The 12,334-nt window shown below is 43.8% G+C and overlaps 2 long non-coding RNA genes across 4 annotated transcripts in view, besides 2 other annotated features; both read right to left on the reverse strand.

Moving 5' to 3' along the window:
- Positions 1-12,334, reverse strand: part of LINC01077 (long intergenic non-protein coding RNA 1077) — a 23,001-nt gene continuing 10,667 nt past the window's right edge. The window contains exons 2-5 of one of the 3 annotated variants that reach the window (NR_170269.1): positions 9,896-10,262; positions 5,511-5,781; positions 2,244-2,350; positions 1-750 (exon numbers count right to left, since the gene is read on the reverse strand). This is a non-coding gene — a long non-coding RNA (long intergenic non-protein coding RNA 1077). Of the gene's footprint in view, positions 751-2,243; positions 2,351-2,710; positions 3,245-5,510; positions 5,782-9,895; positions 10,263-12,334 lie in introns of all 3 variants that reach the window. The other 2 variants (NR_170268.1, NR_170270.1) reach the window with 2 other exon arrangements.
- LINC00462 (long intergenic non-protein coding RNA 462) overlaps positions 9,377-12,334 on the reverse strand; it is a 3,928-nt gene continuing 970 nt past the window's right edge. Inside the window, exons 2-3 of the long non-coding RNA NR_051983.1 lie at positions 10,416-10,491; positions 9,377-10,262 (exon numbers count right to left, since the gene is read on the reverse strand). This is a non-coding gene — a long non-coding RNA (long intergenic non-protein coding RNA 462). The remainder of the gene's footprint in view (positions 10,263-10,415; positions 10,492-12,334) is intronic.
- Positions 11,887-11,956: an enhancer, noted in NCBI's record as "active region_7735". NCBI's record gives its function as "activates an Ori minimal core promoter by ATAC-STARR-seq in GM12878 lymphoblastoid cells {active_cell/tissue: GM12878}" and the evidence as "EXISTENCE:reporter gene assay evidence [ECO:0000049][PMID:35858748]".
- Positions 11,977-12,026: an enhancer, noted in NCBI's record as "active region_7736". NCBI's record gives its function as "activates an Ori minimal core promoter by ATAC-STARR-seq in GM12878 lymphoblastoid cells {active_cell/tissue: GM12878}" and the evidence as "EXISTENCE:reporter gene assay evidence [ECO:0000049][PMID:35858748]".

Genomic DNA, 12,334 nt, shown 5'->3' on the forward strand with positions numbered 1-12,334 from the left:
TTTCCAAAATCCTGTGTATTTCACATATGTCTAAGGTTTTGAGGACAACCCAACCTATACAGCTTTCTCCAAGGATTGTAGAGGAGAGGGAACAGAGCAGAGAGGGGATGACTGCCTCGTGATCTTGTACAGTCCACTGCTTACTGTTTGAAGTCTTGAGACTAGGAGACTCATATTTCTGCTACCAGATAATTAAGATACAGCATCTTAATTATCCTTCTATCATCATGCAGATCAATGGTGTGCCATGTAAAATTTTTCTGAACTTAGCATTTTCACTGCTTCCAAAGGGCTGCACTATTTCATAAAAAGAAAACTGTGTTTCATAACAAAACGTTGCATAATTAAAGTGACTGTAACAATGACAAAAATGTGAATTTCCTCCTTCTCTTTCCTTTCTTTGAAGTCAAATGGGGAACCAAAATGGAATGTAAACGGAAGCTTTTTTGTCTTCCTTCTATCAAGCTTTGTTTGAGGTTCCAAATTCAATACACAGCTAGCACTGAGGAGGGTGTAGCAAATTTTCCAGCAGTTGCAGCCAGGATTAACTGTACTGCCTTCTTTGCCAAATCCATTCGTAAGACAAAACTGAAACAGGTCCTGAAGCTTTGTCATCTTTGAAATTGAGGCCCAACACACGGTGCAGAAAGTGCTGGACTTGAGAAAATCTGGGTTTGGGGCCAGTTTTTCCGCTTTAGTGCCAAGTGTCCTTGGGCAAAGCATTGGTTCCCTTTGAGGCTGTTTCCTTCCCTGTAAAACAAAAATAAAAGTCATGTTCTTGCTTACCTCATAAGGGCGTTTGAGGCTCAAATTAAATGTGATAATGTCAAAGAGCTTTGCAAACTCTAAAGAACTATGAATATAAAGTGTTATTAGAAGCTGTTGAAAGTAAATAATGGGGCAGCTTAATTCAAGTAATTTCAAATGCCTCAGGGTACAAAGAGCTGTGTGAGAGTCTTAGATATTTGCACTGCCCTGTGGTAATAAGAGAAGAGAGGGCGGGCTGAGGTGGGGAAGGTAGCATGACTCCTCTTTCCCGGTAAAGGTGGGCTGGGGTTGGAGAGAGAGATATTGAAGTTGGGGAAGGCAGGAGACGTCACAGCAGTTTGTAGAATGCAATTATGATGATGAGATGGGATTTAGCTAACAGGAGAGAGAAGGATGGTAGGAACGGCCAAATGTGCTTCAGAAATAGCAGAAGTAGGGCAAAAGATGTGGCTCAGAAATAGCAATAAATACATAAATAAATAAATCAGAAATGAAGGCCAATAAATGTCGGAGGAGGAGGTTACACATATAGGGAGATCCTGGGGGGAAAGGAGTTTCCAGGCTTAGTGACAAAGGAGCCTGAAATGAGGATCCCAGGGTGTCAGCAGTTGATGTCCTGAGCCAGCAGTCTCCAGACACTCATTTGCATTTATGAGTGCCTACTATGTGCCAGGCACTAGAAAGAAGGCTCTGTTTTCAAACAAAATCTTACAAGAACCCCAATATGTAAAACAGAAAAATTTGACGCTGCTCTGTTGAAGCAAGGCCTGGGGGACTCAGAGACATTCAGCTTTCCTCCGGATCCATTGGTAGCTCACAAAACATCTCTGCAGGGAGTGAGGCCTCTACTGAGAGACAGAGATAGTACCACTCAACCATGTTAACTCCAGCGCCTAGGACATGATAAGCGTTCAATATTTCCTGCATGAATGAGTGCATGTACGCATGAATGAATGCACAAAATAGAGTGGGTGGTCTGTAGGAAAGAATTCAGATAAATGGGTGCAGTGGATTCCATAACTGCATAGTGAGGCTATAACTTAGCAACCATGAATAGTTAATACATAAAGGTTTCTCAATCTTCAGACATGGAATGGTGGGTGGGTCACCAAGACTGGCTTGCCAGAGGCCGAGGGAGACACATTCGTGTGTGTCCAGCCACAGCAGCCAAAGTTAGAGAGCGTAAGACAAGACAGAACAAGAGAAAGCTTCTACTGACAATGTCTTGGTCACTTCATTGCAAAAACAAAGCTAGTCCAGTGCTCTGCTCCTGTGTGGTGGGGCAGGCTGTCTTCAGAATCACAGAACACAAGAAAAACAGCTGACATTTATCATGTGCTACTTGCCAGGCACAGAAGCAGTCCTTTTATGTGTGGTGGGTAGAACAATGGCCCCCTAGAGACCTCTATACCCCAATCCCTGTAGTCTATAAATATTCTATGTTACGAGGCAATGGAGAAACTAAGATTGCTAACCAGCTGACTGTGAGGTGGGAAGAGTGTCCTGGATTATCCAGGTGGGCCCCATGTCATCACAGCATCCTTGCAGGTAACAGTGGCAGGCAGGCAAGTCACAGAAGGAGCTGAAAGGACAGGAGCACATGTTGGAGTGATGTGATGTGATGTGATTTGAGAACTTGACTGGTCACTGCAGTTTTTGAGATGGAAGAGGGCCACAGGCCAAAGCAATGCAGGCAGCCTCCAGGAGCTAGAAAAGCAAGGAAATAGATTCTCCCCTAGACCCTCCTGGCCCTGCTGATACCTTGATCTTAGCCCAGCAAAACCCAGTTCAGACTTCTGACCTCCAGAACTGGAAGATTAAAAAATTTGTGTTGTTTTTAGCTACTACATTTATAGTAATTTTTTTTACAGCAGCCATTGGAAATGAATACAGATGTTCTCACTCCACCTTCATGTGACAGCCCTAACAGTTGGGTACTTACTGTTGGTATCTTGCAGATGAGTAGAATGAGGCATAGAGAGTTTGGGTCACTTGACCTAGTGGTGCAACAGGCGGCCAGACTCCACAGCCTGCTCTGTTTATCACACTGTCCCCTGGAGTGGCTTTACTTCCTCCTCCCCACAAATGAGAAAATGAGGCCCGAGAGATGTGTTCTGACCTGTCCCAGGTCACATGCAAGTTTGAGGAGACAAAGCTCAAACTATGCCCCAGGAGAATGATATAGACCAGTGCTTCACATACTTAAAGTCTCATCAGAATGCAGGTTCCAATTTAGCAGGTCTGTCTGAGATGGGCTCTAGGACCCTGTGTTTGTAAACAGCTCACAAGTGAGGTCTGGCCTCTGGGTCTGGAGCGGCTGTAGAAGCAGCTTCTGTTCTCTGCTTCGGGGCTCTGAGAATGTAGGGTCACTAGAAGAGGCTTGGGCTTCTAGTGGGATGAAGATGACGGGGCACTGGGAGGGAGAGAGGAGGCTTGGAGACGGGGAGACACAGGCACCGACGGCCATGCGACAGTCCTGTGTGGAATGAAATTTAGGGAAAGGTCAGGGCTAACCAGAAGGATATAACTCTTTGTGCTGCCCAAGAGAAAGATGTCACTCATAAGTGATGATTATTTTTGTCATTTAAAAAGTCATTAAAAACACTCACATGTAATTCCAGCGCTTTGGGAGGCCAAGGCAGCAGGATCGCTTGAGCTCAGAAGTACAAGACCAGCCTGGGCAACATAGGGATACCTCATCTCTATTAAAAATTTAAAAAATTAGCTAGGCATGCGCGTGCATGCCTATAATCCCACCTACTCTAGACGCTGAGGCAGGAGGATCATCTGAGCCTGGGGAGATGAGGGCTGCAGTGAGCTATGATTGTGCTACTGCACTCCAGCCTGAGTGACAGAGTGAGACCATAATTCAGAAAAAAAAAAAAAAAAAAGAAAAGAAAAGTTATCCGAAGCTTGAAGCTTGAAGGCATGGGTCGGGCATGGTGAATAGCACAGACAGATGGAGGACATTCTGTCTGCCACAGAGCCTAAAATATCTACACGAGATTGTGGGAGAAAACCCAACAGCCTTCATTTCCTGCCATGTGTTTTATGTAATTCTTTTATTTTATTTTTTATTTTTGAGAGAGACAGAAAGAGATAGTGTGCTTGTTCTTCGAGAAATGTCTCTAAAGTTTTGGCAGAATCAAAAGGCTAGTACCCCAGGCCCCTTCCTCTCCTGAGGCCCCACACCGCCCACTCCACAGACAGCAAACAGCCCCAGGAGGGTTGCTACTCTGTAACTGCGGTCATGGACCCCTGAGTCTTCATTTTAAAAGAATCCATGCACCCCTCTGTTTGTGTGTGGGGTGCTGGGAGAGTCTCTAACCTATTTCACTGAAACTGAATAATTTCCAGTTGTCTGTGGCTACCGCAGCTGCCTGCAGACTAGGAATGTTCTGGTTTCATTTTGAAACAACTCCCAGGCATGCAGGCAAGAAGTATCAACTTTCCTCTCAGATATGTGAACTCAGAGAGGAAGCCAAAGTTTGGCTGACTGGTTTCTAGGAGTACAGAGTGAAAACGTTGCTTGTATTTATTTAAAATGGCTAAAAAATGAGAACTTTTTTTTAAAAAAATAATCATATGTGGCACTATTCTTTTAAATCCAACAGCAGTTTTTATAGGGAATAATATGTAGATGGATAAATAAGTAGACAAATACTCTTTTTCATTATTTCATTAGGTCAATATGGAAAATGCTCAATAGGCCTTTTGAACACTTTAAAGGACTCCAAAGATGTTGGAGAAAATGGAACATTCATTCGTACTTTTTTAGATAGATAATAATGTAGATGCATAGAGAAATATCCAGAAGGATATTCATCAAAATGTTAACAGTATTTGTCTCTGGATGACAGAATTTAGAGGAGGTTTTTTTTTTTTCTTTTTCTTTTTTATACTTCTCTCTCTCTCTCTCTCTTTTTTTTTTTTTTTTTTTTTGTGAGACAGTCTTGCTCTGTCACCCAGGCTGGGAGTACAGTGGCGTGATCTCGGCTCACTGCAATGTCTGCCTCCTGGGTTCAAGCAATTCTCTCTGCTTCATCCTCCCAAGTAGCTGGGATTACAGGTGCCCGCCACCACACACAGCTAATTTTTGTATTTTTAGTAGAGACAGGGTTTCACCATGTTGGCCAGGCTGGTCTTGAACTCCTGACCTCAGGTGATCTGCCCACCTTGGCCTCCCAAAGTGCTGGGATTACAGGCATCAGCCACCACGTCTGGCCTATATTTCTTTTTTGGTTTTTTTTTTTAATATTTTTTTCCTGTACTCCCAGCACTTCAGGGGGCCGAGGCAGGAGGATTGCTTGAGCCCAGGAATTGGAGGCTAGGCTGGGCAACATGGCAGAGCCCTGTCTCTACACAAAGAATACAAAAATTTGCCAGGCATGGTGGCATGTGCCTGTAGTCTCAGCCACTCAGGAGGCTGAGGTGGGAAGATCACTTGAGCCTGGGAGGTCAAGGGTGCAGTGAGCTGTGATTGTGGCACTTCACTCCAGCCTGGGTGATAGAATGAGACCCTGGGTCCAAAAAAAAAAAAGTGTGTGTGTATTATATTATATACACATATTTCAGTAGCTTTTGGGGCACAAGTGGTTTTTGGTTATATGGATGAATTATATAGGGATGAATTCTGAGATTTAGTGCACCCCATACTTGGCACAATTGACCTTCCATGCTCCTTAATGTAGAGTTTGCAAAATGGAGCTTTAAGGTACTTCTAAAATAAGTTTTCTACTAACCATCCCAGCTTAGGGGTTCACCTCAAAGGGTAGTGGTAATTCTTCAGGAAAATAATGAAATATGTTGATCAGTTGCCTGGCTCAGTCAGCAAACACTGAGGTGCCTATAAAGTCCAAGGAAGGTGTTTTGCTGGGTTCTGAAGAATAGCTTCTCTTTGCTTCCAGTCAGGTCCCAGGTGCGCAGTGTGACAGTTCTGCCTGCTGAGCACTTAGGTGAGGAGGACTCCGGCCATCAGGGGAACTTGAGGCTATGGGGTTTTCAGTTGTCAATCTAGAGTAGCGAAAAAACAAGCTTGAGGGTTACACGACCCTTGTTATCTGTGTCGTCTCGTTCAGGCCCAACACTTCCTGCTATTCTTTTCCACTATGGTCTTGTGTCATCATCTGCAAAATATGAATAAAAATACTTCCTCCCAGGAGTATTGTGAGGATTAAAGGAGACAATATGAATGGCACAAAGTAGGCCTCTAAAAATGTTTCTTCCTCCAAGAGCCCGAAGCAAACAGGGGATTTTCAAGAATAATTTCTGTTTGGCTATGGGATATGTTATGTTACCTTTCTGCCTTAAACTGATCCACCAGTTGATTTATATTTTACTTGGTCTACCAGTAATATTAACTTTTATTTCTTTTGAACATACAACTGATGATGGGAGAGGCAGATCCAAAGTGCTATTTGTGGTAGTCTGTTGTGGTTACAATTCACAGAATGCATACATACATGCACATAAAGGAGAAATGGCTGTGTTTAGAAAAAATGGTCATACATAAATAAGTTGATTACTTTGGTGATGGGAAACTAAGATTCAATGTCAGAAGAGACCTTTGGTGACTACTAGTAGCTTTTGAGGATCAGAAAAGTTAGATGGCTTTTCCTTTCTTTCTTGCCCTCTCCCATCACACACACACACATACACACTCACACTACATCCTTTGCCAGCAGGCAGGGAAAGCACTCCCAGGGTGATACTGATATGAATGTTCTTTCCTTGCCCCCAACTCACCCTGCTCAAGTCACATAGCTAAGGTCAGCTTTGGGGAGCCAGATGCCAGCCCTGTCCCTTCACTGTCCTCAAGCTCCTGGGATCCTCAGGGCAGAGGTGTACAATGGTTCCCATCATCGTGGAGGGACTGGCACATTTGCCTGTTTCCTGCCTGAGTACCAACTAGAGGAAATGAAACTTACATGGCAGGGCCCTCACTTGCGCCAGCCCTTCTAAGGCCCTAGAACTAGGTTCTTATGGTTGTATGATTTCTGTAAAATTTGTAAGAAATATTTGAACAACCATCAGTTAAGACCCTGTTCTCTTCCACCCATTTCTGATGTCCCCCCATCATTCTTCCTCATTTGTCAGTGGCATTGTGTGTCCGTGCATTTCTAGGGAGTTGCGCGGGGGATTCATTTAGTTTGGGTTTAGTGGGATGTGTATATGTGTGTTGTAGCCTCTTCCAGGTAGAGTTAAGCTGTTGCTGGGAATACTCCTATTGCTCACTGTGTTGACTCAGTGGGAGCTGTGACAGGAAGGTGAAGGAGACAGAGGCCATGTCATGACATGACCTTAAGTATAAGGAGAGTGGAGGATAAACAAGGTTTGAAATGTTTGAAGCTGGAAGATAGTCTATGGAGCATTCTTGCAATTGTCAGTAAGTAGAAAATTCAGTTGTCAAAGAAGACTAGTGAAAATACAAGTTCTTTCCTGTCAGGAATATACTGGAAAATGCAGCATAGATGACTTTAATATACCATATGTATTTTTCTTTCCTATATTGATGAGAATCACATGCCACAACATCTATCTCTGAGTTTATAGGCAAGTCTGAAGCAGTACTACAAAAGCAAGGTGTCTCTAGCAGTTTATGAATGAAAAAAGCAAAAGCTTGATAGACCTTATTGTCGTATGATTTCTGTAAAATCTGTAAGAAATATTTGAACAACCATCAATTAAGACCCTGTTCTTTTCCACCCATTTCTGATTCCTCCCATCATTCTTCCTCATTTGTCAGTGGCATCATGTGTCCGTGCATTTCTAGGGAGTTGCGTGGGAGACTCATTTAGTTTGGGTTTAGTGGGATGTGTATATGTGTGTTGTAGCCTCTTCCAGGTAGAGTTAAGCTATTGCTGGGAATACTCCTATTGCTCGCTGTGCTGACGGACATTGCAGTGAGCTGAGATTGTGTCACTGCACTCCACAAATAAGTCATTTAATCCTCAAACAAGGAAGTAGTTTCTTTCTTTTTTTTTTTTTGAGGTGGAGTCTTTCTCTGTCACCCAGGCTGGAGTGCAGTGGGGTGATCTTGGCTCACTGCAACCTCTGTCTCCCGGGTTCAAGCTATTCTCCTGCCTCAGCCTCCTGAGTAGCTGGGACTACAGGCACGTGCCACCATGCCTGGCTAATTTTTTGTATTTTTAGTAGAGATGGGGTTTCACCATGTTAGCCAGGATGATCTCAATCTCCTGACCTTGTGATCCACCTGCCTTGGCCTCCCAAAGTACTGGGATTACAGGCGTGAGCCACCATGCCAGGTTGAGATTTTTTTTGGAAAGTTTTCTTAAAAGCGTCTCCTTACCTCTGCTTCTAATACAGCTCTTTTATATTCTGGATTTGAAGTATGGTTGAAAGGTCTAGGCTTGATTGCCAAAAGAAATGCACAGTCAAGTTAGAGTGTACAAAACATAGGTCTCTCAGACATTATGGCTGGCTCTCAGTTCCTGACAGTGAGGTCTCAAAAAAGGGGAAAGTGAGTTAGTCCTTCTAAAAAGCATAGAGGAGGAGGTTGAAAGGGTTAGAAAGGTCAAGTTTCTTGGAAGCTTTGTGTGGGAATTCCATCACTTTTATCTTCAGAACCCAAGGCAATGATAGCAATGATGATGAAGATGATGATGATGGTGATAATAATGATGATGATGGTGCCCTGTACTTACAAAAAGGCTTTCATCTGTAGACTCAAAATGCAACACAACCACTAATTAATTCCAAAGGCAAGGTAGGCAAATATCATTATCTTCAATTTACAGGCCAGGAATTTAACAAGGAAGAAATTAAGCCCTTTACCCAAGGTAATTTCAGAGTGAATATCACAAATGAAGAGTTCCTGCCTCTTCTCTGTCCACATGTCACCTACAGGTAGCTACAGAAGGGCTTTCTTTTATTCCTTCAGAAGTTGTTTTGGAGCCAATATTTGTGGATGACATTGTGGGACTACAAAAGATGACAGCAAAAAGCAGCACATGATTAAATATCAAAATGGAAGGTAAAGGGAAAAAGAATTCTGGACAAAAGAGAGAGAGAGCTGTGGAGCTTGAAGGGGGATTCAGAATTTGAATTTCTGGAGAACTATTATGAGAGGCCCTGAGCATCCTTGTACTCGAGCTCGGAATGTTCTTGCTGGTTTTTCCAAGAATGCAAGGGCTTGACTGCTTTTCACTTGGGCCCTTTCTCAGGTTATTTGCTGTGAATAACCTTGAGGGACGAGATAATATCTCCCCCCAACAAAGAGCAGGTTTCCTTACCACCAGCTGTGAAAGAGGTGGATTCCCCAAGCCTAGGTTCTTCTCCTGTAATACAACCTGTTGCATGGCAGCATTTATCTGAGCCCTATGTTGCCCTCTGGGACTTGGAAGCAAGGAAAACAGCTGAAACATAATGCTTATGCTGCTTGGTGACTGTAAATAATAAGGCCCCTTGTCTCTGACTCAGGAGTCTCATGTCGTCTGACAACATCCATGATACAGTAACAGGCTAACTAATTAGCTTACAAGTAGGATGAAATCAAATCCCACAGCTGACAGAAACAGCCTGAATAACGTTAGGTGCACCTGATCTGTGACACTTGTACCCCTCCTGTTATGACACTGAGCACCCTTTATTGTAATTGCTTATTTAATTCCTTTATTCCCCACCAGGCTGGAAGCTATGGGAAGAAAGGGCTATTGCATTTCCTTTGCCTAGAAAAGTGCTTGGCATATAGTAGGTTTTTCTCAAATATTTATAGAAGGAGTGAATACATGGATATAGTCTGTTTAGGAGTACAGAATAAACCAGTTCCCCAGGAGGAAAGAGTTTTAAAAGGTAGGCAGAGTAACTGCTTTCATGTGTCCTCGAACATTCCACTCTCTCCTCTGGGGCAGAGCGAGCTCCTTGCTGCACTGACCCCTCCCTTCACAGACTTCACTGAGTGCAGGGAGGACACATAGTAAAATGGTGCCACCTCTACTACACAATGATCTGGGTGGCTGCAGCATCTCTGCCTCACCATGATGTGATGGAGTTTCCCTGCCCCAACCTGCTTGTTTGAGTGTATGGTTCTGGTGTGGATGTTCGCTCAATTTCCACATCTCATGGGCATTGGTGGAAAGGAAGTCAAGGCCATGCCAACAGAGGTCACCTTTGGTTTCCTGAGGTCCACAGGTGTGGATGAGAAGCATCTGGCCAGGAAACCAGCCTGCCAGAATCCCCAGAGTGAAGACACTCAAGCAGAAGACAGGATGGCTCCTCAGCGTTACTCTGGCCAGTGATCAAATTTTCAGGGTTTGTGGAGCAATTAATTGCTTCATACACATGCTGGGCCACGTTCTTCAGAATGAGGCAGGTCACATCTCCGAATTCTTAACCCTTTTGGAATCCAGGCGCTCACCACTACTGGTGGGAATAACACATCTTCTTCTGAAGGAAGGAACCAGTTGTTCTTAGTGGGAGAAGAGAGCCGTGGGACCGATTTGACTTTTCTCCCAGAGAGCAGGTTCTCCATTTGCCTATTGGGAAAGAGAGGTGGACGCAGGTCAAAGATATCACATCCTCTCCTCTCACCTTTCCTTCTCCCTTCCCTTCCTCCTTCTGAGACACAAACGGAAATAGTATATTAGCTATGACCATGAATATCGTATTTACTAGTGATTTTTACTTACAAGACTGATCCAAGAGGATGTAATATCCTTCTATTTCTTTCAAAGCTCTTCATGGGAGTTAACCTAAAGGAAGAAGCTGAGGCACAAAATACAATTTTAAGGAGTTAACTTGAGTCACAGTGAGGACAGCGGCCCGGGAAACACTTCCAAGTTGTCTTGGGAAGTGCTCCCTTATGTATTTGCACAGGCAGGGTCTTTTTTTTTTTTTTTTTGGTTTGTTTTTTGAGACAGGGTCTCACGCCATCACCCAGGCTGGAGTGCAGTGGCACAATCATGGCTCACTGCAGCCTTGGCCTGCTGGCCTCGAGCAACCCTCCCATCTCAGCCTCCCAAGTAGCTGGGATTACAGGTACATGCCACCATGCCTGGCTAATTTTTAAATTTTTCATAGAGACAAGGTCTCCCTATATTGCCCAGGCTGGTCTTGAACTTCCGGGCTCAAGTGATCCTCTTGCCTCAGCCTCTCAAAATACTGGAATTACAGGCATGAGCCCTGACACCCAACCACAAGCAGGTTTCTAAAGGCAAAAGGGAACAAGGAATAGGCTGATACAAAGTTGTTTGGCAGGAATTCTCACTGGCTTAAAGAAGTAATATTGATTCATGATTGGCTATACCTTGTTGAGCTATAGGGTAAGAGCTATGGTATCTAGCATATGGCATTGTTAGGTTAATGTATGGCCACTTGGTGTCAGTCAGTCTTGAGCCCACATAGCAAGTGGCTTCAAGAGGTGATTACTTAGCTCAAGGCAGGGAATGAGACATAATTGCTGTCACATTTCAATGCCTCTTTGGGCCTGATAATTTAAAATGGCTCACATTCTTCAGATAAAGTTTCTTTTCTTTCTCAATGAGATTTTGTTTTTTTTTGTTTTTAACTCAACAATCATGTATTGAGCCTGTCCGGGGCCAGTCTGGGCCAGTCCAGAGAGTGAGAATAGCAGTCAGTAGGTTAAGAACACAGGTTTCTAGTTCAACAGACCTTGACTCAGTCCCATCCTATCTTATTAGCGGTGGGACCTTTGCAGCTCCATGGGAGGATACTGGGGGAAGCCACTGTATTCCTCCCCTGCCTGTCTCCAGGCTTAGCAGCAGCCAGAGAGCCTGTTCTCTGAAAACGCTGCCTGGCACACTTGTTCCTGATGCTGGGATCCCTTTACAGGAAGCATAACCCTTTATTTTAGTTCAAATTAAACAAATACTCAAATGCCCTGGTGGAAGCAGTTAACACCCACAAGTTAAAACTTGCCTGAAGACAATTTCTGCAGCCAGAAATAACGTGCAGACACTTAGCTGGGGGTAGGAGCTGAACACCACAGGGAGGAGACACGAAGTTGGAAAAGAGGAACTGAGAGCCTCAGAGTCAAAATTCATTACTTCATGCTTTTTCTTTCGACCTGATCTCCCTTCCCTTTCTTATTTTTGAGAGAAAGTTTCAATTCCTGTTACAGCTGAATTCACCGGGAAGTATGGGTAATTTGTCTCCATACTTAACCTGCGCTTTAAGTGTAAAATTTTGGCCATTTATTTAAGGCCTGGAAAGAATTTACCAACTATAAGAAAATCATGTGACTTTCTTGGTGAAATGGCATCAGAAGATTTCCGGGGACCAAAGAGCACCATAACCAGGTGTAGCTGGAGTCAGGCCATTTTGTGTCAGCCAGTGCCAAAGTCCTTCCAGGTGGTGGCTGCTCTTTCTAAGGACTATTTGAACTTACAGCAATCTGATCAAGGCAGGTTTTAGAGTTTCAGGAATGCTGGTGAGCCATGTCTTGCATGTTTAACCCAAAGCTTCCCTGGAGTTGGAGACTGCACTACTTTTCATCCATCATACACTTTTTGGGCACTCGCTTGTTGGTGCTGGGCACTGTGTTAGACTCCAGAAAGACAGATAATTGTTTAGTAAAGGAAAAAAAAAT

The sequence above is a fragment of the Homo sapiens genome, chromosome 13 (genome assembly GCF_000001405.40).
Source record: "Homo sapiens chromosome 13, GRCh38.p14 Primary Assembly".
Classification (NCBI taxonomy): Eukaryota; Metazoa; Chordata; class Mammalia; order Primates; family Hominidae; genus Homo; species Homo sapiens.